Source organism: Homo sapiens, chromosome 6 (assembly GCF_000001405.40).
Source record: "Homo sapiens chromosome 6, GRCh38.p14 Primary Assembly".
Lineage (NCBI taxonomy): Eukaryota > Metazoa > Chordata > Mammalia > Primates > Hominidae > Homo > Homo sapiens.
In genome coordinates this window covers 137,840,790-137,865,837 of record NC_000006.12, presented here as the reverse complement: position 1 = coordinate 137,865,837, position 25,048 = coordinate 137,840,790, and the positions used below count along the sequence as shown (strand labels likewise).

The following is a 25,048-nucleotide window of genomic DNA, read 5'->3' as shown; positions in this document are numbered from 1 at the left end:
TCCATTGTAAATGGACCTTGCTGGAGTCCAGGGCTAGCAGAAATGACAGGGTCTAAAATGACATTTATCAAGTACTTGCTATATGCTTATATATGCTTTTTATATGAAGGTTAAGAAGCTTGAGGCATTTGCCCAGTTTCCACAACCAAAAGGGGCAGAGTCGCCAGTGGCATTAAGCCTGTGTTACTCCAAAGCCCATAATGACCAGTCTTACTAGACCATTCCTCTCAGGAAAGATCCTGTGAGACAGGTACTCTTTTGGTGTCCTGTCTCCCAGCCTCTCAAAACAGCCAAACACGGACCTTAGACAGAATGCGGCTTCAGAGGTAGAAGGGTCTTGGTTTCACCTTCAGGAAACCTCCTGGGTTTCAGTTGAGCTGGCAGAAGAAGATCATGTATCTGAAAGACCCTGCATGGAATGTTAATCCTCACACCACTCTCCTGCTGGTGCTCCTTTGTAAACAGAGTTGGCCTGTTTCCTCTCATCTCTGGCTCCATGACTTCAATCCTCCTGCAGCTTCCACTGCCCCTATCTGGCTCATGTCTTGCTGTCTGGTGTCATGAACTGGGAGTGCAGTAAAGAGGAGTGACAAGCCTGAGGGGCCACGTTCATACCTGCCACTGCCAACTGTCCTGATGTAACTGCTTTGTCATCTTGCCTGCCAGGATTTGTGACAAGGTAATAGCAGTCAGATGCAGGAGTGGTCTATAGCCCTGGATTATGTTCGAACTCCACTTTCCATGATTCTACTGCTGGGCTTGTGAATTGCCACTCCCACCACCAGGCGGTCTTTACTGTCCTTTCCACCTTCTAAATCAGCGCTGTGTTGGGCTGTACCCTTGCCTTTTCCCCTTCTATTATGTAACACATGGACAAGACCAATGACAATTTTCTTGGTGAATCAGAAGGAAAGAAAAGAAGAGAAGGAGAGAGTATAGATGGAATGCCTTCTTATGAAAAAAAGGAGAAATACAATTTGGGGAGATTTGTTGAATAAGTTGAAACCAAAGAGATATAGAATGCTGAAAAGCCTTGAAGGAGATTTAATTTGAGCTATAGGCCTTGTCAAGATGGACAGAACTCTTTAAAGAAGAGAATATTTATTAACATTTAGTAGACACTTAGGAGAAAAAATATGTCTCCTTATTAGATGAAAAAGGAATTCTGATTATGTGAAATATTTTTGGAGAGTTCCTAAGTTACGTGCCATTTTGACACCAATGCTGGGGTTTATGGGTCATGAACTATGTAAAATGAGCACACATGACCTCTTGGAATTAAACGGTTCCCGTGAGACTGTGCTTGCAGCCTGTATCCCTGTACCATGCAGTAAAAAAGATGTGCTTGCCCAGATGGGGGGAGCAGGAAGAACCTGATGAAAGAGAGCACCACGTGTGACAAGTGAGAGGAGACCCTGCTGAGCTCAAACATATTTCATGAGCCTTTCTTAATCAAGAATCAGCAACAGTTGATTGGTTGTTGATTCTTTTTTTTTTTTTTGAGACGTCGTCTTGCTCTGTCGCCCAGGCTGGAGTGCAGTGGCGCGATCTCAGCTCACTGCAAGCTCCGCCTCCCGGGTTCACGCCATTCTCCTGCCTCAGCCTCCCGAGTAGCTGGGACTACAGGCGCCCGCCACTACGCCCGGCTAATTTTTTGTATTTTTAGTAGAGACGGGGTTTCGCCGTGTTAGCCAGGATGGTCTCGATTCTCCTGACCTCGTGATCCACCCGCCTTGGCCTCCCAAAGTGCTGGGATTACAGGCGTGAGCCACCGCGCCTGGCCCCTGGTTGTTGATTGTTAATTAGCATGCGTCTGCAGTCCCAGCTACTCGGGAGGCTGAGAGGGAAGGGTCCTTTGAGTCCGGGAGTTTGAGTCTATCCTGGGCAACATAGTAAGACCCATGTTTCTAAAAATTAAAAAAATAAAAAAGAAGAAATTATGTATTTTTAATAATCAGTGACACTCTCTTTCTGAGACTGTACAGAATTCCAGGGCATGGCAGTCATGGGCCAAACTAAAACTGGACCTTTTGTGTCTTTTGTACAATTGCCCCCTCCCCTTTTCCCTGCACTGTGCTCTATTGGAAAGGCAGATTCATAGAAAACATATTGGGAAGCAGCCTTAGGTAACTATGGCAGCTTAGTTATTGTAGGGTAGCTTTGAATCATGTTTCAGATTTTCAAATTCTGCCTCAAACATTACTAAAGGGTAACGTTTGCACATTCAAGGCCACTACAAGGGCTAGTTCTGAGAATAAAGAGAAGCTTTCTGTGGATTATAACCGTGAGAACTGGGATAATGATGTCATAAATTTCATCATCCTATGAATGCCAAATTCTACTGAATGTTGCTTCTTATCTAGGGACCTCAGATCCTTTACATGTGTTATCTGGACTGAATGGAGAAACCCAAGACCCACCATGGTGGAGGGACAACTGAAGTCCTTAGTGACCCAGTGAGTCATAGTACCAGGATCAAAGACCCTCCACTGGGAAGGAGGCAGTTGGTGTAATGACAAGTACAGTTCCTTCTGTTGCACTTTGCCTGAAAGCGTGCGATGCTGACATCTCAAACTTGTCAGAAAATCCACTATCCCTGTGAATTCTGTTTTATTTCCTGTCAACACTTGGCTGAAACACTTGGGAAAGTAATTTTATTTTACATCATAAATATAAATATTCAATTCTTAGTTTCATTTATGTTTCTGTGAAGGCTGCTATTAATGACCAAATAGGATGTTAGAAAGCCCAGAAATGGGTGTTATTAGGAACGAGCTAGAAAGCAGTGTTGGTTTTAGCAGTAAGCCCGGTGTTTCTGAGATAAATTAGTTCCTGTTACTTGGAATAGTGCAAGCCATTGTGAAAATTTGCCTTGACATTCCCCTTTCTCATTTGTCCCTCAATCCCTTCAGTCTAGTTTGGGGTCTCTATAATCCTGCTCCTTTGGCTGCCAGCCATCTCCATAAAAAAAGAATTTGAAAGGCTTCCATTCTTTCAGAGACCTGTTTCCCGGGACTGGCTGGTAAGATAAATCATGCTCATTTTTCAAACAGATTGTGATGTGTTACTGTGTTATATTTCTTGATAAAATGTTCTTACAGAACTTCCTAGAGCTTAATGGTGGAAATTCCAAGCACTTTAGCAGGCTGGAGAAAGAGCTGTGGTATTTCTATGATTCTGAGAGTCCATGTTTGTAAGACACACTATGGATTTAATAACAAGATTGGGAGGGGAACAACCTTATTGTAGGAAATGTACACACGTTTCTTCCTTTACTCACTTAGCCTATGTTTATTGATGTGATGACATTTCTCTTTCTTCTTCACTGTCACCATTCATGTTTGATTCGAAGGCTTCTTGGAGTTTTATGATTCCTCTGAGCTGATTTTGATCCTTGACAATTGTGTACTGCAGTGCTCAGATAGGCTGTTTGCAGTAATCTGCCTCTTCTGGCCTTTTTAGTAATTTAGAATTGACTATAACATTACATATTCCTTTAAACTTCTCTTGAAGGTCTGCTGGAAATAGAGATAGTCCTTTAAGATGCTCTTTTCATTTTTTTTTTTTATCATACTTTAAGTTCTAGGGTAAATGTGCACAACGTGCAGGTTTGTTACATATGTATACCTGTGCCATGTTGGTGTGCTGCAACCATTAAAAAGAAAAAAAAAAAGATGCTCTGTTTAATAACAGCTTTGGAAAGGAATTTGGCTCCCTATAAGCCTTTCATCATGAGAGTGGGCCTATTTTTCCATGATGCATTTAAACAGCTTTATCTCTATATGGGGACCAAACGGGCCATTGCTTTACCAGAAACAATGGACTTTAGTTCTGCGTTTTTCTCTGTTAGCTTTAGTCTAGCATCATAATGTATCTTTTGAAAGATATTTTGTTTAAGAGATAGAAATCCAAATTTAAGTTAAATGGAACTTCTTGTTCAGCTAGCCATGTAAATGAGTCAACAGGGTGTCTCCATGTTCCCTTATTCTGCTGAGCTCAGGCCAGCTTGCCCCAGGGCCCCTGCACTTACTGTTTTCTCTACAGGGACTGCCCTTGCAACTGCTCAGCACTCAGCTTTCTGCTTACATGTTATTTAATCAGAGAAACCTCCCTGACTTACCCCACTTCCTGATCTTTCTGTCTTGCTTTCTTTGTAACATTTATCACAATTGAAAATTCTTTATTTATCAGTTCAATTGTTTATCATCTACCTTTCCCTACTAGAATGAGACTCTTTGAGAGTCTATCATTGATGCTTGCCTATCATTGTACTCTGTACTCCCTGTGCCCAGAAATGTACGTGATACAAAACAGGCACTCAGTGAACAACAGTTTGTTAGATGAATGAAAGGATTGGGAGGAAGAATGAAAAGATACCTTTCCTTTAGACATTTCTAAGCTTGCAAATGCACAGGCAATGAGAACCACCTCTCTTCACTCCCTGGCATTTGAGGCTTTTTACGTAAAAATTTAAACTAATGATTATATTAGAAATTTTTAAATGTTTAAAAAAAGTATGTTGTAAAATTGAGGAAATATAGTATTTTGAGAGTCCAAACACGTTCATGCAGTTGATTGAGCCTAAGTGTTGGGTTAATCCTAGTAAGTGATTGATCTTTTTAGGTAGGTAAGGGAATAAACAGAAGATCAGAAAAGAAGAGGTACTACTATTACATTTTAAGTTTCCAAATATACTACTAAGTGTCTCTAGTAAAACTTAACTCATTGAAGAAGAAAATAGTCTGACTCTAAAAAAAGAGTGTGTGTTCCTGAGAAAGACTAAACCAGTTATTTTCTCCTTTCATGTTTGAATGAATAACCATCAGCAAGGGAGAGATGCACTGACCTTCTGCCAGGTATGTTTAGTATGGATGTTTCTATGCTGTTGACAAACAAAAAAAAAAAAAAAAAGAAAAAAGAAAAAAAAGCCAATCTCTGTAAAATATTTAAAGACATTTATTCTGAGCCAAATGTGAGGACCATGACCCATGACATAGCCTCAGGAGGTCCTGAGAACATGTATCCAAACACAGTGGTTGGGTTACAGCTTGATTTTACACAGTTTAGGGGGACAGAATTTATAGGCAGACATCAATCAGTGTATGTAACGTATATGTTCATTTGGTCCAGAAAGGTAGGACAACTTCAAGGAGGGTGTTGGGCTTACAGCTGATAGTTGAATTCAAAGGTGTTCTGATTGGCAGTTGGTTGAAACAGTTAAGTTTCTTTCTAAGGAGTTAAGACAGAAATGCTTAGGGTTAAGATAAGGAGGGTTGTGGAGGCCAAGGTTCTTGTTATGAAGATGAAGCCTTCTGGTAGCAGCCTTCAGAAAGAGTAATAGGTGGTAAATATCTCCTATCAGACCTTAAACGGTGCCAGACTCAGTTGAATATCTCCTGGATCAGGAAAAGACCTGGAAAGGAGAGAGAATTATCTACGGAATGGAGAGTTTCCTCACAACAGACAGCTTTGCCAGGTCATTTCAAAATGTATCAAATAAATATATTTTGAAGTAAAATACTTGGATTTCTTTCAGGGCCTCCTGTCACATTGCTATCTTATTGCTACAAAAAGTCTGTTTTGTCAGTCTTAAGATCTCTGTTTTAATGTTAATGCTGGTCAGTTGTGCCTGAATTCCAAAGAGAGGAGAGTATAATGAAGCATGTCCGACCCTCCCTTCCCATCATGGCCTGAACTAGTATTTTAGGTTTCTTTGAAATCCCCTCGGCTGAGAGTTGGGGGTCCATTCAGTGGTTCGGGGGCTTAGAATTTTATTTTTGTTTAGAATATTTATTATTCTTTTGTTTACAGCAAGTTGGCTGTTTTCCCATATTAATGTCTGGAAGTTTTAAAATGTTTTTTCATGCACTTTAATTTTTAAAAATTTATTTGTAAATGAACTTACATGCAAAAGTGTTCATCTTTTGTTTTATATTAATGGGAAAAATGTTTTAATTTTTCTTAACTGGTTCTGTTCTCATAAAATCCCTAGAATTTAGCCTTGTTGATTTCTAGTTTTTATTAGAGAGCATTTAGGCATTCAGGAGAAAAAGTTGGAATTGCCATATTTTTAGTATATGCTTTCCAGGGAGTAGGAGAGGGTTGGGGAGGGGTTCCTGAATTTTTCATATTTGAAATAAATCTACCAAATCTATCTTGAGACATGTTCAGCTCTCTGCAGAAAACAACTAGAGAAGCATTATACTTCATCTCTACAATGAAATGTAATTTTCTCTTGAAATAAGTTACTTTTATGATACCTTAAGAAGTACCTCTGGGAACACTCAACTTGTTACAATTCAGGTGTGAAATAAACCTGTAAGAAATGCCTTGATTCTTGAGGCTTTCATGGTTGGTTCTTAGGTTCTCTGGTTGAACCAAACAGTCATTGTTTGGTTGGTTCTCAATGGTGTCAAACATCCTAACTTGAGCAAGTATGGGATTTGAGATTTTTGCAAAAGATTTTTTATGTAAGAACTTAATTCATATATACATCTCTGGCTTTGAACTTCGAGAAAATTATTATACTTCTTGGGTGGCTGAAAAATTCTTGGCCTTAGGCATTTTAGCAATAATTGTTCAGAACTGCACAGCCTGCTATGTCTTATTCCCTTGCTACAGCTGTTTACTTTGTGATAACTGAACGAACAATGCGGAACTCTGGATGCTGCTATTTTCAAAGTGTCTTTCTAGTGCTAAATTGGATAATTTAAATAAAAAATTCACAACAGAACATTAATAACCTTCTAAACTAATGATCATTTACTCTAAGCCTTAAAGCTTCTGTTTGTCTGAGCTGATACCTGTTTTTTTTAATTTTCAAATTCTTAAAAGTTTTATTATTTTTTTAGAGACAAGGTCTCACTCTGTCACCCAGGCTGGAGTATGGTGGTGTGATCATGGCACACTGTGGCCTTCACCGACCCTTCTGCTTCAGCCTCCTGAGTAGCTGGGACTACAGGCTTGCGCCACCACACTCAGCTAATTTATAATTTATTATAGAGTTGGGGTCTTGCTTTGTTGCCCAAGCTGGTCTTGAGCTCCTGGCCTCAAGTAATCCTCTTTCCTCGGCCTCCTGAAGTGCTGGAATTATAGGTGTGAGTCAATGTGCCTGGCCAATACCTATTTTTTTTTTTAAATGTCTTTAAGGTACAAATTCTTATATAAATCATTTTGAGAAACTTTAGAAAAAACAGTGGAACTTTCAGCTGAACCAAGAGATTAAGAGATTATTTTTTTCCCTTCTTAAATTGGCCTCATTTTGTTCATTTATAAAATGAAGGATCTGGATGCATTGATCCCTAAGTCATTCCAACTCCACTATTTTATCTTTCTATGATTCCATCAAGAAAATTGTATATGATTTGATATTACAGTGGATAACATTTTATATGGGAATCTGAGTATAGGGTCTGAATCATACTGCTGGGTTCAAAGCTTGTTCTGCCACTTACTAAACAACCTTGGGCAAGTTACTTGCTTCTCTGCTTTGGTTTTGAATTTGAAAAATTGGAGATAATAATAGGACTTAGGGTTATTAGGAGGATTAAATAAGTTAATACATGCAATATGCTTAGAACAGTGAGTGGCATATAGTAAGCACTCAATAAATGTTAGTTGTTATTTGCTCACTTTACTGACAGGAGAAGTCTTTTTATTGTAAGGTTTGCTTGGAATTAACAAAACTAAAAGCTACAACAAGGTATTTTATGGTTGTTTTCCATATCTTGGGGTAAAGGGTATTTTGCAAGGGAGTTCAAGAATTCCTTTACACATTTACTTATTTTTACAGGTATAGAACTATTGAATGGTACAGTTTGAGATCTTCGAAACCATCAGGACTGATCATTTTCTGGCTACTTTCTACATAGGAATCCTAGAGTTCCTTGGAGAGGATATGAAGGTTATTCTCAGGCCATGCAGATGGGCAAGAAAGGATGTGCGTCCATGGTTCCTCTTCAAATCCAACCAAAACAGCCTTGCTTCCGTTGGCTTTATATAATACTGCAACTCTTGATAATCTGATTTAACACAAATTTCCTCATTGAGTTTCTCCTCATGAAGAAACGGCCTCAGTGAGGTAAATCGGAATGCACAGGAGCACATAGCAGGTTAGTGCAGACCAGAAATCAAACCCAGGCTTTCTGACTGCTCAATAGACCACAATCTACCATGCTACCATGGAAACTTTAAAACAGATGAAAGTAAAAACAAACAAACAACAACTTAAAAAAACAAAAACAAAAACAAAAGCAAAACCCAGAGCCTCTCTAGGAAATACCAACGTGCTTTTGCCAAGTGGGGTTTCTCTCACTTCATAAGAGCAGTAAACACTAAACCAAGGGAATGTGAATTTAGAGGTTAGAAAAGATAACCAGAGATTTGGCCGTGCGTGGGGCTCATGCCTGTAATCCCAGCACTTTGGGAGGCTGAGGCTGGTGGGTTGCCTGAGGTCAGGAGTTTGAGACCAGCCTGGCCAACATAGTGAAACCCTGTCTCTACTAAAAATACAAAAATTAGCTGGGTGTGGTGGCGTGCACCTGTAATCCCAGCTACTAGGGAGGCTGAGGCAGGAGAATCGCTTGAACTGGAGAGGTGGAGGTTGCAGTGAGCCGAGATGGTGCCATTGCACTCCAGCCCGGGCAAGAAGATTGAAATTCCATCTCAAAAAAAAAAAAAAAAGAAGAAGAAGAAGAAAAGATGCCAGAGATTTGGCGGGGTGCCGGGCTCATGCCTGTAATCCCAGCACTTTGGGAGGCCAAATGGACAGATCACTTAAAGTTAGGAGTTCCAGAAAAGATGCCAGAGGTTGGGCCTTTACATTGTTTTGTAAATTCGTCAAACCTTAATCTTATTTAACTTCCCCACCTATACAAAAATTAATGCAGTAATTGCTTTTTAAGGAAGCATTCCAAAGGCCAAATAATTCATATATGTCAAGTACCCTGGGATTCAGGAAAGAAAAATTCTCTATAGCTCTAAAGCAAGGATTATAATTTGAGGTTTCCTGACAGTTTTTTTTAAGAAAAGAAATACCAACCTTTCTTTTCTGGGCCAAATGCCAAGGTAGGTAATAACCCCTTGCCCATTTTCTTTCCCCAAGCTGTTTTAACTAGATAAGAGCTCTGCCTTCATTTCCTTTTGTGAACTGACTTGGGATGTTGCCACATGCCCTTCAACTACTGTCAATGCTCTAGTTTGCTGAGTGCTTTCCCCTTCAGAATGGAAAAGGTTTTGGCATAAATATCTAGCTTTCTTCAAGGTACAAAATGCTTTCCAAGGAGCAGAGGACAGAGGGAACAAACTTTCATGTTTCCCAATTGTATTAGTCTGTTCTCATGCTGCTAATAAAGACATACCCAAGACTGTGTAATTTATAAAGGAAAAAGGTTTTACTGACTCACAGTTCCACATGGCTGGGGAGGCCTCACAATCATGGTGGAAGATGAAGGAAGAGCAAAGGGATGTCTTCCATGGCCAGCAAAAAGAGAATGAAAGCCAAGGGAAGGAGAAAACACCTTATAAAATCATCAGATCTCATGAGACTTATTCACTACCATGACAACGGTATGGGTGAACTGCCCCCATGATTCAGTTATCTCCCACCGGGTCCCTCCCACAAAATGTGGGAATTATGGGAGCTACAATTCAAGATGAGATTTGGGTGGGGACAGAGCCAAACCATAGCACCAATACTAGATCCCTCAGCTTCAAGGTGGCTCCAGTGATCCTAAGAGGATCAAGGAAGCCCTACCTCCCTGCTTGTCCTGGATGTCTCTGACACATGTTAAGGGAAAAGCATTAATAAAGTGCTCAAGAAACAATTGTTCAATAGGTCAGTCTTATAGTCAATACCTCATCCCATGCTCTGTCCCCTACTCTTTGAAAAACTGCCCAAAGAAACAATGGATCCACGGAGTCACAAAAACAGGGCATCCAGTGACCCTCCCCATCTTACCAGCAATGTGACTTTCCCACAGTATAACGACAGCAGTGCCCAGAGCCCAATACAAGCAGGGCTCTACACTGAGACAGAGCTGAGTTCTAGTAGCAACTACCCTCCTTATAGCAGTGTTATTTTAGGCAAGTTTCTCAGCTTCTGGAAGGTTCTTTTCTCAGGCTTACATACTTTTTACCCGAAAAGATCTTGGAGTCGTCCATATCAGCACAAGCAATCTACATTATTAGTTTTTTTAATGGCTGCACAGCATTCCATGATATGGCTGTACCATTACTTAACTATCGATGAACATTTAGGCAGTTTCCAGTCTCTTTCTGCAGGAGCCAATGCTGCAATGTGGTGGGTCATAACTTTTTCTTTTTTTCAAATGTGGTCTCACTATTTCTTCCAGGCTGGAGTGTAGTGGTATGATCACAGCTCACTGCAGCCTCGAACTCCTGGACTCAAACAATCCTCCTGTCTCAGCCTCCAGAGCAACTGGGAGTACAGGTGTGTGCCACCATGCCTGACTAAGTTTTTAAATTTTTTGTAGAGATGGGGTCTTGCTATATTGACCAGGCTGGTCTTGAACTTCTGGCCTCAAGAAATCCTCCCACCTGGGCCTCCCAGAGTGCTGGGATTACAGGAATGCACCACTGTGCCCAGCCCTAAATAACTATTTTTATTTCCCTTTCTGTAACCGCTCATCTTTTGTGCATTTTTCCTTGGGTATTGGCCTTCTTATCAAAGTTTAAGAACTGTTTATATATAGGGATTAACCCTTAGTCTGTTGTATGAATTGCAAATATACATGTATTTTTATTTGTATATGCAAAGTTTGTCTTTTATCTTTGTATATGGGATAGTTTTCCAAACACAGTTTTATTTTATTTTATTTTTCATCTTGCATGTCTTTCCAAAGTACCAAGCAGAGTTTTTTTAAAAGTTGTTTTATGGCTTCTGGGTTTTTTAAGTCATATTTAGAAAGATCTTTCCCACTCTGAAATTAAAAAAATAAATAAATAAAATCTCCCAATTAAAAAAAATTTGTGACTTTGTTTTTCATATTTAAATATTTATTCCATCTGGAATTTATTTTATTTTAAGCTGTAAAGTAGAGACCTCATTTTATTGTATTTCTCCATATGGCCACCCAGTTGTTACAATACCATTTACTAAATAATACATCAATTGCCACTGAATTTAGCATACCAACTGAATTTAGCATGTACTAAATTTTCATGTGTGTTTTGTTTGTTTGTTTGTTTTTGAGACAGAGTCTCGCTCTGTCACCCAGGCTGGTGTGCAGTGGTGCGATCTGGGCTGACTGCAACCTCTGCCTCTCAAGTTCAAGCGATTCTCTTGCCTCGGCCTCCCAAGTACTGGTACTACAGGTGCCTGCCACCACACCTGGCTAATTTTTGTATTTTTAGTAGAGACAGGGTTTTGCCTTGTTGCCAGGTTGATCTTGGACTCCTGACCTCAAGTGATCCTCCTGCCTCAGCCTCCCAAAGTGTTGGGATTACAGGCGTGAGCCACTGCGCCCAACCCTTCTGTGTGTATTTTGATGTATTGGACTTTCTAGTCTGTTCCATTAATTTCTTGTCTGTTCTTAGGCAAAGAAAGCATTGTTTAAATCGGAATTTTGTAACATGCTTTACTGTCTAATAGAGTATCTTCTAACTTTTTTCTATGATTTTCCTCGCTAATGTTACTTGTTTATTTTTTCATATGAACTTCAGTATCCATTAATCTAGTCTTCCCCCGACTCCCAACAAAATTAATTACTATTTTGTGAGGGGTAGTGCATTAAACTTATGAATTAATTTAGGATGACTTAACATATTTATGATATTGGACCTTTTTACTGAAGATTATGATATGCCTATTTAACTTTTTGTGCTCCTCAGTAGTATTTTGAAGTTTCTAAGTATAGATGTCATAGAGTGTTTAAATGTGAAGAGGGTATAATAATGGTACTTCCTGCAAAGAGTTATTGTAAAGATTAAATGAAGATAATAGTCAGTGCCTGGTCATAACACACACTTAAAAAATTAAAGCATGACAAATGCACACTTATCGCCATATCCTGGACTATGTGTGACTAATCTAATAAGATAAATCGGTCTTTCAATAATCTCAAATTTCCATGGTTGTGACTCACACTTGGCTCTACCCTTGAAATAGGAACTCTTTTTCTACTTATGTCGCACTCACTATGTCCTGCTCACCTCTGTGAAAAGTGAATTGAGACAACCAGAAGTCCCACTAGGGGTATCTGTGGCCATCTTTGGACAGGAGATATTCAGGGTATGGCTGCCGTGCCGATCAAGGGAAGTATCAGGACCCAGAAAGAGGTGATTGCATAAAAGTCACATTTCACATCTCTCTTGACAACTCTGGACAGGAGGAAGAAAATATTAAAAATACATTACAGCTTTCAAAGCTACTTTATTTTTGTTTTGAAGGTAGAGGATCTCCCTCCATAGGATAACAGGGGGGTTGATAAGATTGCTCAGATGTCGATCACATGTAGAGTCTGGATTTATTGTCTCCCGACACTCAGCACCCCATATCCATATATGTAATACACCTTATGGCACGCTCACTGTATACTAAGTATGAGCTAACTGTTTTATTCGCTTTATCATATTTAATTTTCTGAAGTAAGTATCATTATCCCATGTTACAGACAGAATAACTGAGTGTTAATGTCACAGCTCTAGAAACTGGTAAAACTGCATCTGGAAATTTGCTTGTCTTCAAAGTCTGTGCTATTAACACAGTGCTTAATTTAGCTGATTTTAAAGAAGCTAAATAAAACCAACTGTAAAATAAATTGAAATATGATTTGACTGCATGTCAGAGCATGCTCCTTCATCTGGAACAGAAGCATTGTCATGCTAGGTATTATTAGTGTATACCTTGTTTTCGCTAGTAAAATTGCACCTTGACTGAGGGCTGTAGTTCCTGGTCTATCTTGAAAATCAGTCTGAATAATATCCTAGGAAATCTAACTATCTTTTCAGCTGCATTTGCAGGAGGATAAGGTTTTCATTTTTATGTGACAGAAAATGCTATCACATCAATATCCAAGGAGTACTCTGTTAAATTGTCTTAATTTTTTAATGCCTTCATTTGGCAGAAAACTTATTTATGTCACACTTCCATTTGGCCTTTCCCAGGTAACCTATTCAACCTCTGAGAAATACATCAGCAAGTAGGAAAAATGGCCTAGCAAATTACTTATTCCCCAAGGGAAAAGCATGTGGCCAATGAATCAGGGGAAACTGATTGCCCAGGGAAGGGAACACTCAAGGCGTTTCAATATGAGTCACCAAACATAAGGACTACCCCATGATCAAAAAAGGTGAATGAACAAAGCCAGGATTCCTTTTAGAGTTTCCATCGATGCAATCAGCATGGGATTGTTCCCACACAGGCTGGTGAGGCCTGTCGTGTAAAGAATGAGGGTTTGTCACTAAAGTACCCAAAGGGATGCTCTGTCAGAGAAGAGGCTCCAAGTAGGCATGGAGGGCCTAGGGCCTGGGAAGCAGCACTGGGTGGGTGGGAAAGGTATTTGGAAGATCAGCATCACATTGATGGTCCAATTGGGGAAAAGGCCTGGAGTCCGGGAGCAGAAGTATGTGGAGACACGCATAGTTACAGAGCTGGCAGGAGATGTTGGCTGGACTAGATGTCAGAGGACCTCATTCCTACAAGAACTGGGAGAGCAAATCTGGGACTTATTCTTGGAGGAAGTGGAATATTTAGGGTTTTAGGAAGGCAGATACTTGGACAAAAAAACTGACTCACTGGGGTGTAAGGGGAAGGCTTGTTTCTAGAAACTATATGTCTGTTTTGCTTATTGCTATATTGTTTCCAAGAGGAGGCCCTCTGCTTGGCACATGGGAGGTAATTAAGTGTTTGTTGAGTGAATAAATGAGGCATAAGGCAGACACCCAGTTTCAGAATGTAGGGCACGTGGTGAAAGCAGGTCTCTGAGTGGGGTTGACTTGATGCCGACTCACCTGAGCAATGACTAAGGACATGGTTATTGCAGAGCCTCGGGTGGGGCTGAAGCTGCAGGTGGCATGTGCAGTGTCTGGGTGCAGGGCATATGTGGGAGAAATTAGGAGGATGAGGAGTAGGCAGGAAGCTCCTTACTCATTCTATGACAGCTTTACACATTATTGATCTTCACTTTTGATCAAATATAATGAAAATGTTTCCTGACTTTCCATGGAACTTCTTACTAAGGAAGTCACATGTCCCAAATGCCCAGGATTCACAATCTTATGAGCTACCATTTAGTTTCCATTTATTTGCTTGCTATGTGGCTGGTACTGTGATGAGTTCAGTATAGTCAATATCTCTATTCCTCCCCGTAATCCTTAGAGGTACTACTTTGCTTATAAAGTCCCAGCTGCTGCTGCTGCTGGTGGTATCTGCACCACATGTGGAGAAGCAAGAATCTACAGCAGGGTTGGCCAGATAGTAAATATTTCCAGCTTTGTGGGCCATATGGTCTCTGTCACATCTCTTCATCTCTGCCACTGAAGTTCGAAGGCAGCCATAGATAATACATGGATAAATGAGTGTGGCTGTGTTCCAAGAGAACTTTATTTATGGACACTGAAAATTGAGTTTCATATAATTTTCATATGGCACAAAGTATTTTTTAATTTTTTTCAACCATTGAATATGTAAAAAAATTAGTTAATGGGCCATAGTTCCCTGACCCCCAGTCTAGAAAATTCAGTGGCCTTGATCCCAAAGTGTTGAAGAGCATCCCAAAGAGGATAGCCCAGGTTCTGAGATTTTGTGAAACCACCACCAACCAAAACAGGTGGCAGGCAGGTGACTAACATGAGGGAGCACCTCATCTAGAGCGTGGGGCCAGATTTGCCTGTGACAGCCTTTGTCACTTCCAGCAGGGTGACACAACAAAGTTTTTAATGTCTTAGTACCTTAATTTCCTCATGTCCAAAGTGAGGCTAAAAACAGGGTGATTGTGACAAGAAAAAGAAATTAGTTAATGCAGGGAAAGCGTTTGTGATACCTGACAGAGATGAATTACAAGGTTAGACTTACAATCTTAGCATCACTGACTGAAGCAGGCTGTGAGGACAAGAGTCCCTCAGAACCTGACTGGACCTCAGAGCCAACCCACTCAAAGATGACCTGAGAGAGAATTTGCTGATCGCTACACTGCAGTTGTCAACAGTCATACAATTTTGAGGACAATTCTTTGAGGAATTCAGAATGAAGTTCAGTTCTATAAAGGGCAGGTAAGGTCAGTGCAGAGTTCTTATGAAGATGCCTTTATAGGGCAGGCAGCAGAAACCCTCAGGAGAACTGTTGGCAAGGCACAAGGACACGGTTGGTATTAAAGTAATCAGAGCAATGAATATAGCTGACAGTTATATAGCATTTATTAATATCCTCTGCTTGGCAATGGTCTAGTGTTTTCTAAGCAGAAAATATGTAGGTTTAGTTTACCCCCATGATCACTTTGTAAAGTAAGCACTATTATTAAACCCATTTAATAGATAAGGCAACTGAGACTGAGAGGGTAAATAATATGCCCAAAGCCATGCTTTCTTTAAGTGGCAGCACAATCTGGCTGCTGCATCCTTGTTCTTAGTCTCCAGGCTGACAGTCTTTACCCCAGGCTCTCTAGGTCCTCGGATAAAATTAGCTTGGCCAGACTTGGGGACGGTGGGATCAGGGATTTCCTTCCAGGGAGCAAATGGGGCTCTGGGGATTTGCAATACTTTTATGTCACTAGGTTATGACGGGTAGCAAATATGATTCATGTGCAAATGGAAATAACAGTTTTTGCCTTTGTATTTCACATTTACTAACCTCTCTAGCCAGAGTCCTGGTCTAGTCACACAGCATACTGTACAAGTTCAGACTGTATCCTGCATTTTGATGTAGATTCATTTTCAGAAGCGGGTAGGGGTGGCACACATATTTTTGTCTCTTTTCTGTGTGGGTGATGACCCTGGCCTCATATGTGGACTGTGCACAGACAATATGAAACAGAAAGGTGCCCGTTATGGATCAGAAGGAAATGCCACTTGAACCAGGGCTCCTGAAATTAGTGCCTCTGATTACTTGGATCCTATGAGTCTATAGAAAACTTTGGGTGATTCCCCACATCATGACTGTTGTTTTTTCCCATCAGTAATCTAAAAAGAGTTTTAGACTTTTTTTTTCTGTTTTATCTAGCAATTAAACAGATCTTCTAAAACTGGATTTGGGAAAGGAATTTTTAATAAGGGTATTCCCAACTGCATATACCTCAGAGGATTTGCACTGGAAAATTGGTCTCACTCTATGCCCATATTTGGGAGCTTCCTCATTTGTGAGATCAGATTTCCTGGATATTCCAGAATTGCCTCCACCACGTTTTTTTTTTTATTTTGTTTTTTTTTTTACTTGCAAAAGGGACACGGAACCTTGAAATGTTATGTTACCTTTTCTCAAAGGATAAAGAATGATATATGAACTGCCTATCTTTGTATACAAACTGTGTTCATAAGCTTTGACCACCATCCAGTGTTATTTCTCTTGGTTAAGCAAAATAATCTCACATTCTCTAAATTTTCCAAGGACTTTTTTTCAGCTGATTAGTGACTATGAGCCTGTACATTATTTCCTAAGGAGTTATAGATATGTCTTGGATTCTAGCCCTGCACATAATTAATATTTTTATGAATATAATGATAGTGAGCCCTTAACCACACACACGTAACTAACTGTCATTTGTTACGTAGATTTCCTTTCTGTTTTCTTTTTTATGGATTTAATACATAGAGGTTTTTTTTTTTTTAAATGAAAACTGTTTTCGTTTTATAAGAAATATGCCTTCAGCGATTCAAAGACAGAGCTTGCCTAATTTCTATGGGATATACAGCCAAGAAAATCACTGGAAATAGTTGTTTAAATAAGAGTCACACACAAAAAAGTCCTGAATTGCCTTAAACATACTTTGTAATAATGTCTTCATATGTTATGAGAGTCACTGCAGTCAGTTAGAAAAATACACAGAATACCAGGAATTCCTATCCCTAGTCCAGCCTCACTTGTAAATATCATATGACCTCAAATAACTGACTTGGGAGAGATCCTTATGGCAGTAAATGTATTCTAGAAAGGGATTGTTTATAATTCATCCCAAACATATCCCATTAACTATATACTCGCAGGAGACTAGGGGAAAAAACAAGAAAAGCAATGCTAAAATATATTTTCCAAAATATGTTAAATTTCAGCCGGGCCTGGTGGCTTACGTCTGTAATCCCAGCATTTGGGGAGGCCAAGGCGGTGGATCACATGAGGTCAGGAGTTTCAGACCATCCTGTCTCGAATTCCTGACTCATGGCAAAACCCCATCTCTACTAAAAAATATAAAAATTAGCCAGGCACGGTGGTGGGTGCCTGTAATCCCAGCTACTGGGGAGGCTGAAGCAGGAGAATTGCTTGAACCCAGGAGGTGGAGGTTGCAGTGAGCTGAGATCGCGCCACTGCACTCCAGCCTGGGAGACAGAGTGAGACTCTGTCTCAAAAAAAAAATTAATTAAAATAAAATAAATAAATAGAAACAAAATATATTGAATTTGAAAAGAAATTCTTAAGGTAAAATGATTTCTCAAGGTGTTTGGACATTCAGTAAACAGATAACCTGACCAGCATCATAGTCTGGGGGAAGACAAGGGTGATCTACATTATTTTAGGTTCCCCTTGGTTTGATGAGGAATTTATTATCTATTATGAGACGTGTATAACTCCCAAGAATCTATACTGAACAATCCAGGACAGTATACATTGAGAACTATGTTGTGGTTCTCTGGGGCTATAGGAATTCAAAGGAGCCTAAAACAACTAGGCAAGAAACGGCCAGAGGCTGAAGCTCCAGGGAGGAACTGAGAGTTGAGGTCGGTCTTAAGTGACAGGGACAATGCCCAGTGTGTTCTGGAGAAAGGTGAGGGCCTTCCAAGAAAGGGAGGCACTGTGGGCCAAGTCATGGAGGTGGGAAAATGAGCCCGATAGGTTAATGGAAGCATGAAAGAACTAGCCTTCCATGAGCAGAAGTGAGCCGGGGCCCAGACACATTCTAAAGGCCACTGCAAGTCTGTGGGGGGACTTCAGTTGCAGCAGGGAAGGGAAATGGAGTCTCTGAAAATTTTAAGCATGAGTCCTGTGATAAAAATGGTGTTTAAAGAAGATTGATCTGGCAGCGAGGTACTCCGGGAGAGACTGAGAGATTGTCCTTTGGGTAGCAGCAGCCTATATATTTATATGCTGTAGAGTCTTAATTTGAGAGATTAGCTGTTTCACCATCCAGTGAACCATTTACCTTCACATTCACTTACACATTTAATCTAACATTTTAAATGTATTTCTGGAATATTAGTTCAATATTTTATATCAAAATACCGCATACATTGCATTGTGCCACTTCCAATCCTCACAGACCAAGGGTAGGTAAAAATGCATCAGTGGGTCCTCTATTAGGGACTGAGTTGTATTAATAGACAAGGCAGGTAGGGTGTCTGCCCTCAAAAAGCTTATCCACTGAGATTGGCCATAAGCAAATCATTACACCATACTGAGTTACAATTGTGGTAAATGCTAAGAAGTACTAGGTAATAGGGGGAAGTTTGACAGAGGGTTCTAACACAGACTTAAGGCCCGACGATTTGGGGAAAGTCTTCTTGGGGAAGTGATATTCAAAATGAGATCTGATTGGAGTGGAAGAAGGTAGAGCAGAAGCTGAAGGGTGTTAGAAATTCTGAGAAGAGGAAATTGCACTTGTGAGGGCCCTGGGGTGAAACAAAGTCCAGGGCATTCAAGGAACTGAAAGAAGGCCCACTGGGCTGGAGTGGGGAGGCTGGACCAGGGCCGCAGGAAGAGAGGCTGGCGGGAGGCAGATGGCACCCGGCCTCATAGACCGCAGGAAGGGCTTTCAGGATATATCTCCATCTTCCTCAGAGGGTGCCCTCCACCCTCCCCTGCCATGAGTCACAGTGACTTCCTCATCCATGCTTACTGTCCTCTCTGATCAAATTCTCAAATCTAACTTCAGACACTACCCGAGCCACATTAGTGCAAGTAGCCCCCTTGGAGCACAGCCACATCTTAGAACTCAAGGTCAACTGAAAGCACTCTACCTCTGGCATCCTACATGTTGCGATTCTCTATCCTGACCATAGCCACTTATCCCTACGTCTCCCACTGAACTTCTGTTTGACCTCAGAAACACCTTCTGTTCCCTTCACTGTCCCGGAACTCTTTACTAGGCTTTCCTCTGGCTCCTCATCTATCCTGGCACAGAGCTCAAGCTCAGTGACATTGAGCTGCACCGTCACTGGTGCCTGATAGTTCTCTTTCTGCTTGACCTTCTACCACTCTCACATTCCCGCACTTTGCTCTAGAGGAAAGATGAACCTGTTTTCTCTGCTTCACTCCTAAGCTCTGCTGGGAAGCTTAGGTCACCTCCTGGTGATGTTACTACTGATTCATGCGGCTAACTTCAACTTGACCCTCGTACCATTTGATAACCACTTATGATTGATTGTTTATTTCATTCCTCTTAACCACTTTTACATTTCAAACTTTATCATCCTAACTCCCAACTAGGTTCCCCCTCTACATTTGTTTTCTATCTTAGGGATGGGCACTCCATCCTTGATTTCCCCATGCCACGAACCCGGGAGTCTTCTGGACTCCTCCTTCCTCACCCTTACATTCAGACGGAAGCCAAATCTCATTAATTGTATCAATTAAGCCCCTCTCTTTTCAGTTTCCTTTTCTCTATCCAATAGTTGTTTCCCAAACTCAAACTGTCATTGCTTTTCTTGCTTCTCATCAGGAATTCTTCCAATTCTTCCTCCACATGGCCTCAGATGTGAAATCTTTGATTTAAACTCATCAATGACTTCCATTCCTGTAGGAGGAAAGTCCAGCCTCCTTATACAGAAAACAGGACCTCTGTAGCCTGGCCGTCACTCACCTCTCCAATTTTTTTGCCCAGGCATGCCACCTCCTTCTCCTACCCCAATTCTCCCCTTGAACCTTACACACTAGCGGTTCAAACTTGCCCTCCCTCTAACCCACTATGCTACTGGCTGCCTCTGGACATGGTGCTCCCTCTGGCCAGAGTGTTCCCACCCAGGTTACTCTTTACATACTTGAAATATTTGCGATTCAGTACACAAGTTACAAGAAGCCTCCTCTGAACCGCCTTCCCTCCCTCCTCCATAGGTTGTCCTGATCACTCCTTCCTCTGTGCTCCACTCCACCCAGTGGATATTTCTATTAGAGCACTTATTATACTTAGTTGTAATAATTTGTTTTCAAATCTCTCTCCTTTAAAGCCATTATGCACTCCTTGAAAACGGGTTTCTGTGTTATTCGACTTTGCACGCTTGGTGCCCAGCACAGCTCCTGGCCTGCAGCAGCCACTCGAAGATGTCACCAGACCAAAGGACAATCTCTGGCTTGGTGAATGATCTCATGGTCTACCTTACTGAGATGAACTCCTCTGAAGGGGTGGGTTGCCCCTCCACACCTGTGGGTGTTTCTCGTTAGGTGGAACGAGAGACTTGGAAAAGAAAAAGACACAAAGTATAGATAAAGAAATAAGGGGACCCAGGGAACCAGCGTTCAGCATATGGAGGATCCCGCCAGCCTCTGAGTTCCCTTAGTATTTATTGATCATTCATGGGTGTTTCTCCGAGGGGGGGATGTGTCAGGGTCACAAGACAATAGTGGGGAGAGGGTCAGCAGACAAACATGTGAACAAAGGTCTTTGCATCATAGACAAGGTAAAGAATCAAGTGCTGTGCTTTTAGGTATGCATACACATAAACATCTCAATGCTTTACAAAGCGGTATTGCTGCCCGCATGTCCCACCTCCAGGCCTAAGGCAGTTTTGTCTCAACTGCAAAGAGGGATTCTTTCCTCTTCTACTAATCCTCCTCAGCACAGACCCTTTACGGGTGTCGGGCTGGGGGACGGTCAGGTCTTTCCCTTCCCACGAGGCCATATTTCAGACTATCACATGGGGTGAAACCTTGGACAATAACTGGCTTTCCTAGGCAGAGGTCCCTGTGGCCTTCCGCAGTGTTTGTGTCCCTGGGTACTTGAGATTAGGGAGTGGTGATGACTCTTAAGGAGCATGCTGTCTTCAAGCATCTGTTTAACAAAGGACATCTTGCACAACCCTTAATCCATTTAACCCTGAGTTTGACACAGCACATGTTTCAGAGAGCACGGAGTTGGGGGTAAGGTCATAGATTAACAGCATCCCAAGGCAGAAGAATTTGTCTTAGTACAGAACAAAATGGAGTCTCCTATGTCTACTTCTTTCTACACAGACACAGTAACAATCTGATCTCTCTTGCTTTTCCCCACACTCCTCCTCTTTCTTCAATCTCATTTCAAGGAAGAAGTGTCCCTGAACCTCTCCAAGGTCCACTACAGCCCCCGTGGCCAGGATCCAACAGGCTCCCATTTCTCCTGTGCTTTGCTCCATAAGTATTGCTCCTGTCTTCCACTTTTTGTTTCTTCTTCTACTTTCTTGCCTACAAATAGGTTCTTTCTTTCCTATTAAGATAAAAGAAATCTCGTTTCCTAACTTTTCCTTGATCATCCTGTCTACAGAAGTTTCCCCCTCCACCTTTATCCCTGTGCCTGCTTGCTCATTTACGTAATTACTTTCTTAATTATAGTTATCACAAAACAATTGCTTAATTTTCTGTTAACTCATTTTTTGTCCCCACTAGAATGTAAGTTCCATGAGGGCTGGCACCTATCCCCAATGTCTAGCAAATTGCCTTGTGCAGAGATGTTATTTATTTAATTTACCTGTTGGATAAATAAATGCATGAGTGAATAAGTGAATGAATAAATAAGTCTATCTATCTTCTCTTCAAACTCCCTTGAAATCTGCACTTCCAATGCTCTTTCCAACCCATTCTGGCTTCTAGCTCACTGCTCCACTGAAATTGTTCTTTCAATGTTTCCCAGTGACTCCTTTGTTACCAAACCCAGTGGCCTTGCCATTTCTGTGGTGTTTGATAAACCTTCCTTGAAATTTTCTCTGTTACTGGTTTCTGAGACAATACAGTGACATGGTTCTTCTCTCACACTTCTGGCCATTCCTCGGTCACTTTCACTGACTCCTCTTCTTCCACTCAATTTCTTAATTGTTTTCTGGGAGCTAGTCTATTCTAACACTATGCAACCCACTTATCTCACCCATCCCAGATATTTCAACTGTGATCTCCAAGTGAATGAACTGCAAACCCACACCTCTACCATCAGCCTCTTTCTGAGCTCCATGTTGGCCTAGTGTATATTTCCAAATGAGGATCCTGCCAGTAACCCCAAACTCACCACAACTCCAAAACAAATCTACAAACTTCCCTCTTCCTGGGTTCCATATTTCAGCCAATGACAGCATCCCTCCTCCCACTTACATAGACTTACATCCTGGCTCTGATCATCTCTCTGGCACTTCCCACTCATCAGTCACCAAGTCCTGTCAATGATTGTACTGCAAGACCTCTGACTTTAATCTCCATCCTTTCTTTTCCATTGGAATTCAGCCTTCATATAATCTCTAAAGCAACCTTCTTGAGATACCAATTCTGAACACCCCAAGCCTCTGTTCAAAAAACTGTGATTGCACAGAAAACTTTTCGAAGAATTAATAAGAATGCACAATTTGAATTTTGTACCATAATCGTGACTTAGTATTATAATTTTATAAAAGTCTAATTTGAAAATACCTTTTATTGCCTGCCAAATTTATAAACTTCTCCACTGAACCATTTTTCCATCCACAATATGATGATCCCAACCTAACTTTCCACCATTATTTTTCACTTACTCCATGCTCTAGCCAAATGCATTATTCATTATATATGCTCACTTTTTTTTTTTTTTGATTCATGGTTAAACTAGTATAGGAGGAAATAGGTAGAATAAAAAATTGTCTTTTAATGTAGTTATCGTAAAGCTTTGGTCTTCAGTGAAGTTTATTTGCACATATGTAGCTCAGAAAATTGAGCTCATAAGGAACCTCACAGAGTCCATTTCACCCTCCACCACCTCCACCAGAACAGGCATGGATATGACTGAGAGACCCACATACAGTTCACATCACAGGACTCTGTGCAGACAATCCTCAGTACCAGCCTGGAGCTGGGTAGACTTGCTGGGTGGTTAGACCCAGAAGAGAGACAACAATCACTGCAATTCAGTTCACAGGAAGCCACATCCACAGAAAAAGGGGAGAGTGCTACATCAAGGGAACACCCCATGGGACAAAAAAATCTGAACAACAGCCTTCAGCCCTAGACCTTCCCTCTGACAGAGCGTACCCAAATGAGAAGGAACCAGAAAACCAACCCTGGTAATATGACAAAACAAGGCTTGTCAACACCCCCCATAAATCACACTAGTTCACCAGCAATGGATCCAAACCAAGAAGAAATCCCTGATTTACCTGAAAAAGAACCCAGGAGGTTAGTTATTAAGCGAGTCAGGAAGAGACCAGAGAAAGGCAAAGCCCAGTGCAAGGAAATCCAAAAAATGGTACAAGAAGTTGAAGGGAGAGATATTCAAGGAAACAGATAGCTTAAATAAAAAACAATCAAAACTTCAGGAAACTTTGGACACACTTTTAGAAATGCAAAATGCTCTGGAAAGTCTCAGTAATAGAATTGAACAAGTGGAAAACAGAATTTCAAAGCTTGAAGACAAGGTTTTCAAATTAACCCAACCCAACAAAGAGAAAGAAAAAAGAATAAGAAAATATGAACAAAGCCTCTAAGAGGTCTGGCATTATGTTAAACGACCAAATCTAAGAATAATCAGTGTTCCTGAGGAAGAAGACAATGCTAAAAGCTTGGAAAACATATTTGGGGGAATAATTGAGGAAAACTTCCCCAGCCTTGCTGGAGATCTAGACCTGCAAATACAGGAAGCACAAAGAACACCTGAGAAATCCATCACAAAAAGATCTTCACCTAGGCACATTGTCATCAGGTTATCCAAAGTTAAGACGAAGGAAAGAATCTTAGGAGCTATGAGACAGAAGCACTAGGTAACCTATACAAGAAAACCTACCAGATTAATAGCAGATTTCTCAGCGAAACTCTACAAGCTAGAAGGGATTGGGACCCTATCTTCAGCCTCCTCAAACAAAACAATTATCAGCCAAGAATTTTGTATCCAGTGAAACTAAGCATTATATATGAAGGAAAGATACAGTCTTTTTCAGACAAACAAATTCTTAGAGAATTCACTATTACCAAGCCACCACTACAAGAACTGCTAAAAGGAGCTCTAAATATGGAAACAAATCCTGGAAACACATCAAAACAGAACCACTTTAAAGTATAAATCACATGGAACCTATACAACAAAAATACAAGTTAAAAAGCAAAACCAAAAAACAGCAAAGTACACAGGCAACAAAGAGCATGATGAATGCAATGGTACCTCACATTTCAATACTAATATTGAATGTAAGTGGCCTAAATGCTCCACTTAAAAGATACAGAACTGCAGAATGGATGAGAACTCACCAACCAACTATCTGCTGCCTTCAGGAGACTCACCTAACACATAAGTACTCACATAAACTTAAAGTAAAGGGGTAGGAAAAGGCATTTCATGCAAAAGCGAGCAGGGGTAGCTATTCTTAGACAAAAAAAAACTTTAAAGTGACAATGTTTAAAAGAGACAAAGAGGGGCATTATAAAATGGTAAAAGGCATTGTCCAACAGGAAAACATCACAATCCTAAACATATATGCACCTAACACTGGAGATCCCAAATTTATAAAACAATTACTAATAGACCTAAGAAATGAGATAGACAGCAACACAATAACACTGGGAACTTCAATACTCTACTGACAGCACTAGACAGCTCATTAAGACAGAAAGTCAACAAAGAAACAGTGGATTTAAACTATACCTTGGAACAAATGGACTTAGCAGATGTATACAGAACACTTCATCCAACAACCACAGAATACACATTGTATTCAGCAGTGCATGGAATTTTCTCCAAGACAGACC

At 40.7% G+C, this 25,048-nt stretch overlaps 1 long non-coding RNA gene across 1 annotated transcript in view, besides 1 other annotated feature; it reads left to right on the top strand.

The window, feature by feature from the left end:
• Positions 1–25,048, top strand: part of WAKMAR2 (wound and keratinocyte migration associated lncRNA 2) — a 44,565-nt gene that overhangs the window by 2,396 nt on the left and 17,121 nt on the right. The window contains exon 3 of the long non-coding RNA NR_049793.1: positions 518–679. This is a non-coding gene — a long non-coding RNA (wound and keratinocyte migration associated lncRNA 2). The remainder of the gene's footprint in view (positions 1–517; positions 680–25,048) is intronic.
• Positions 15,856–15,935: an enhancer, noted in NCBI's record as "active region_25152". NCBI's record gives its function as "activates an Ori minimal core promoter by ATAC-STARR-seq in GM12878 lymphoblastoid cells {active_cell/tissue: GM12878}" and the evidence as "EXISTENCE:reporter gene assay evidence [ECO:0000049][PMID:35858748]".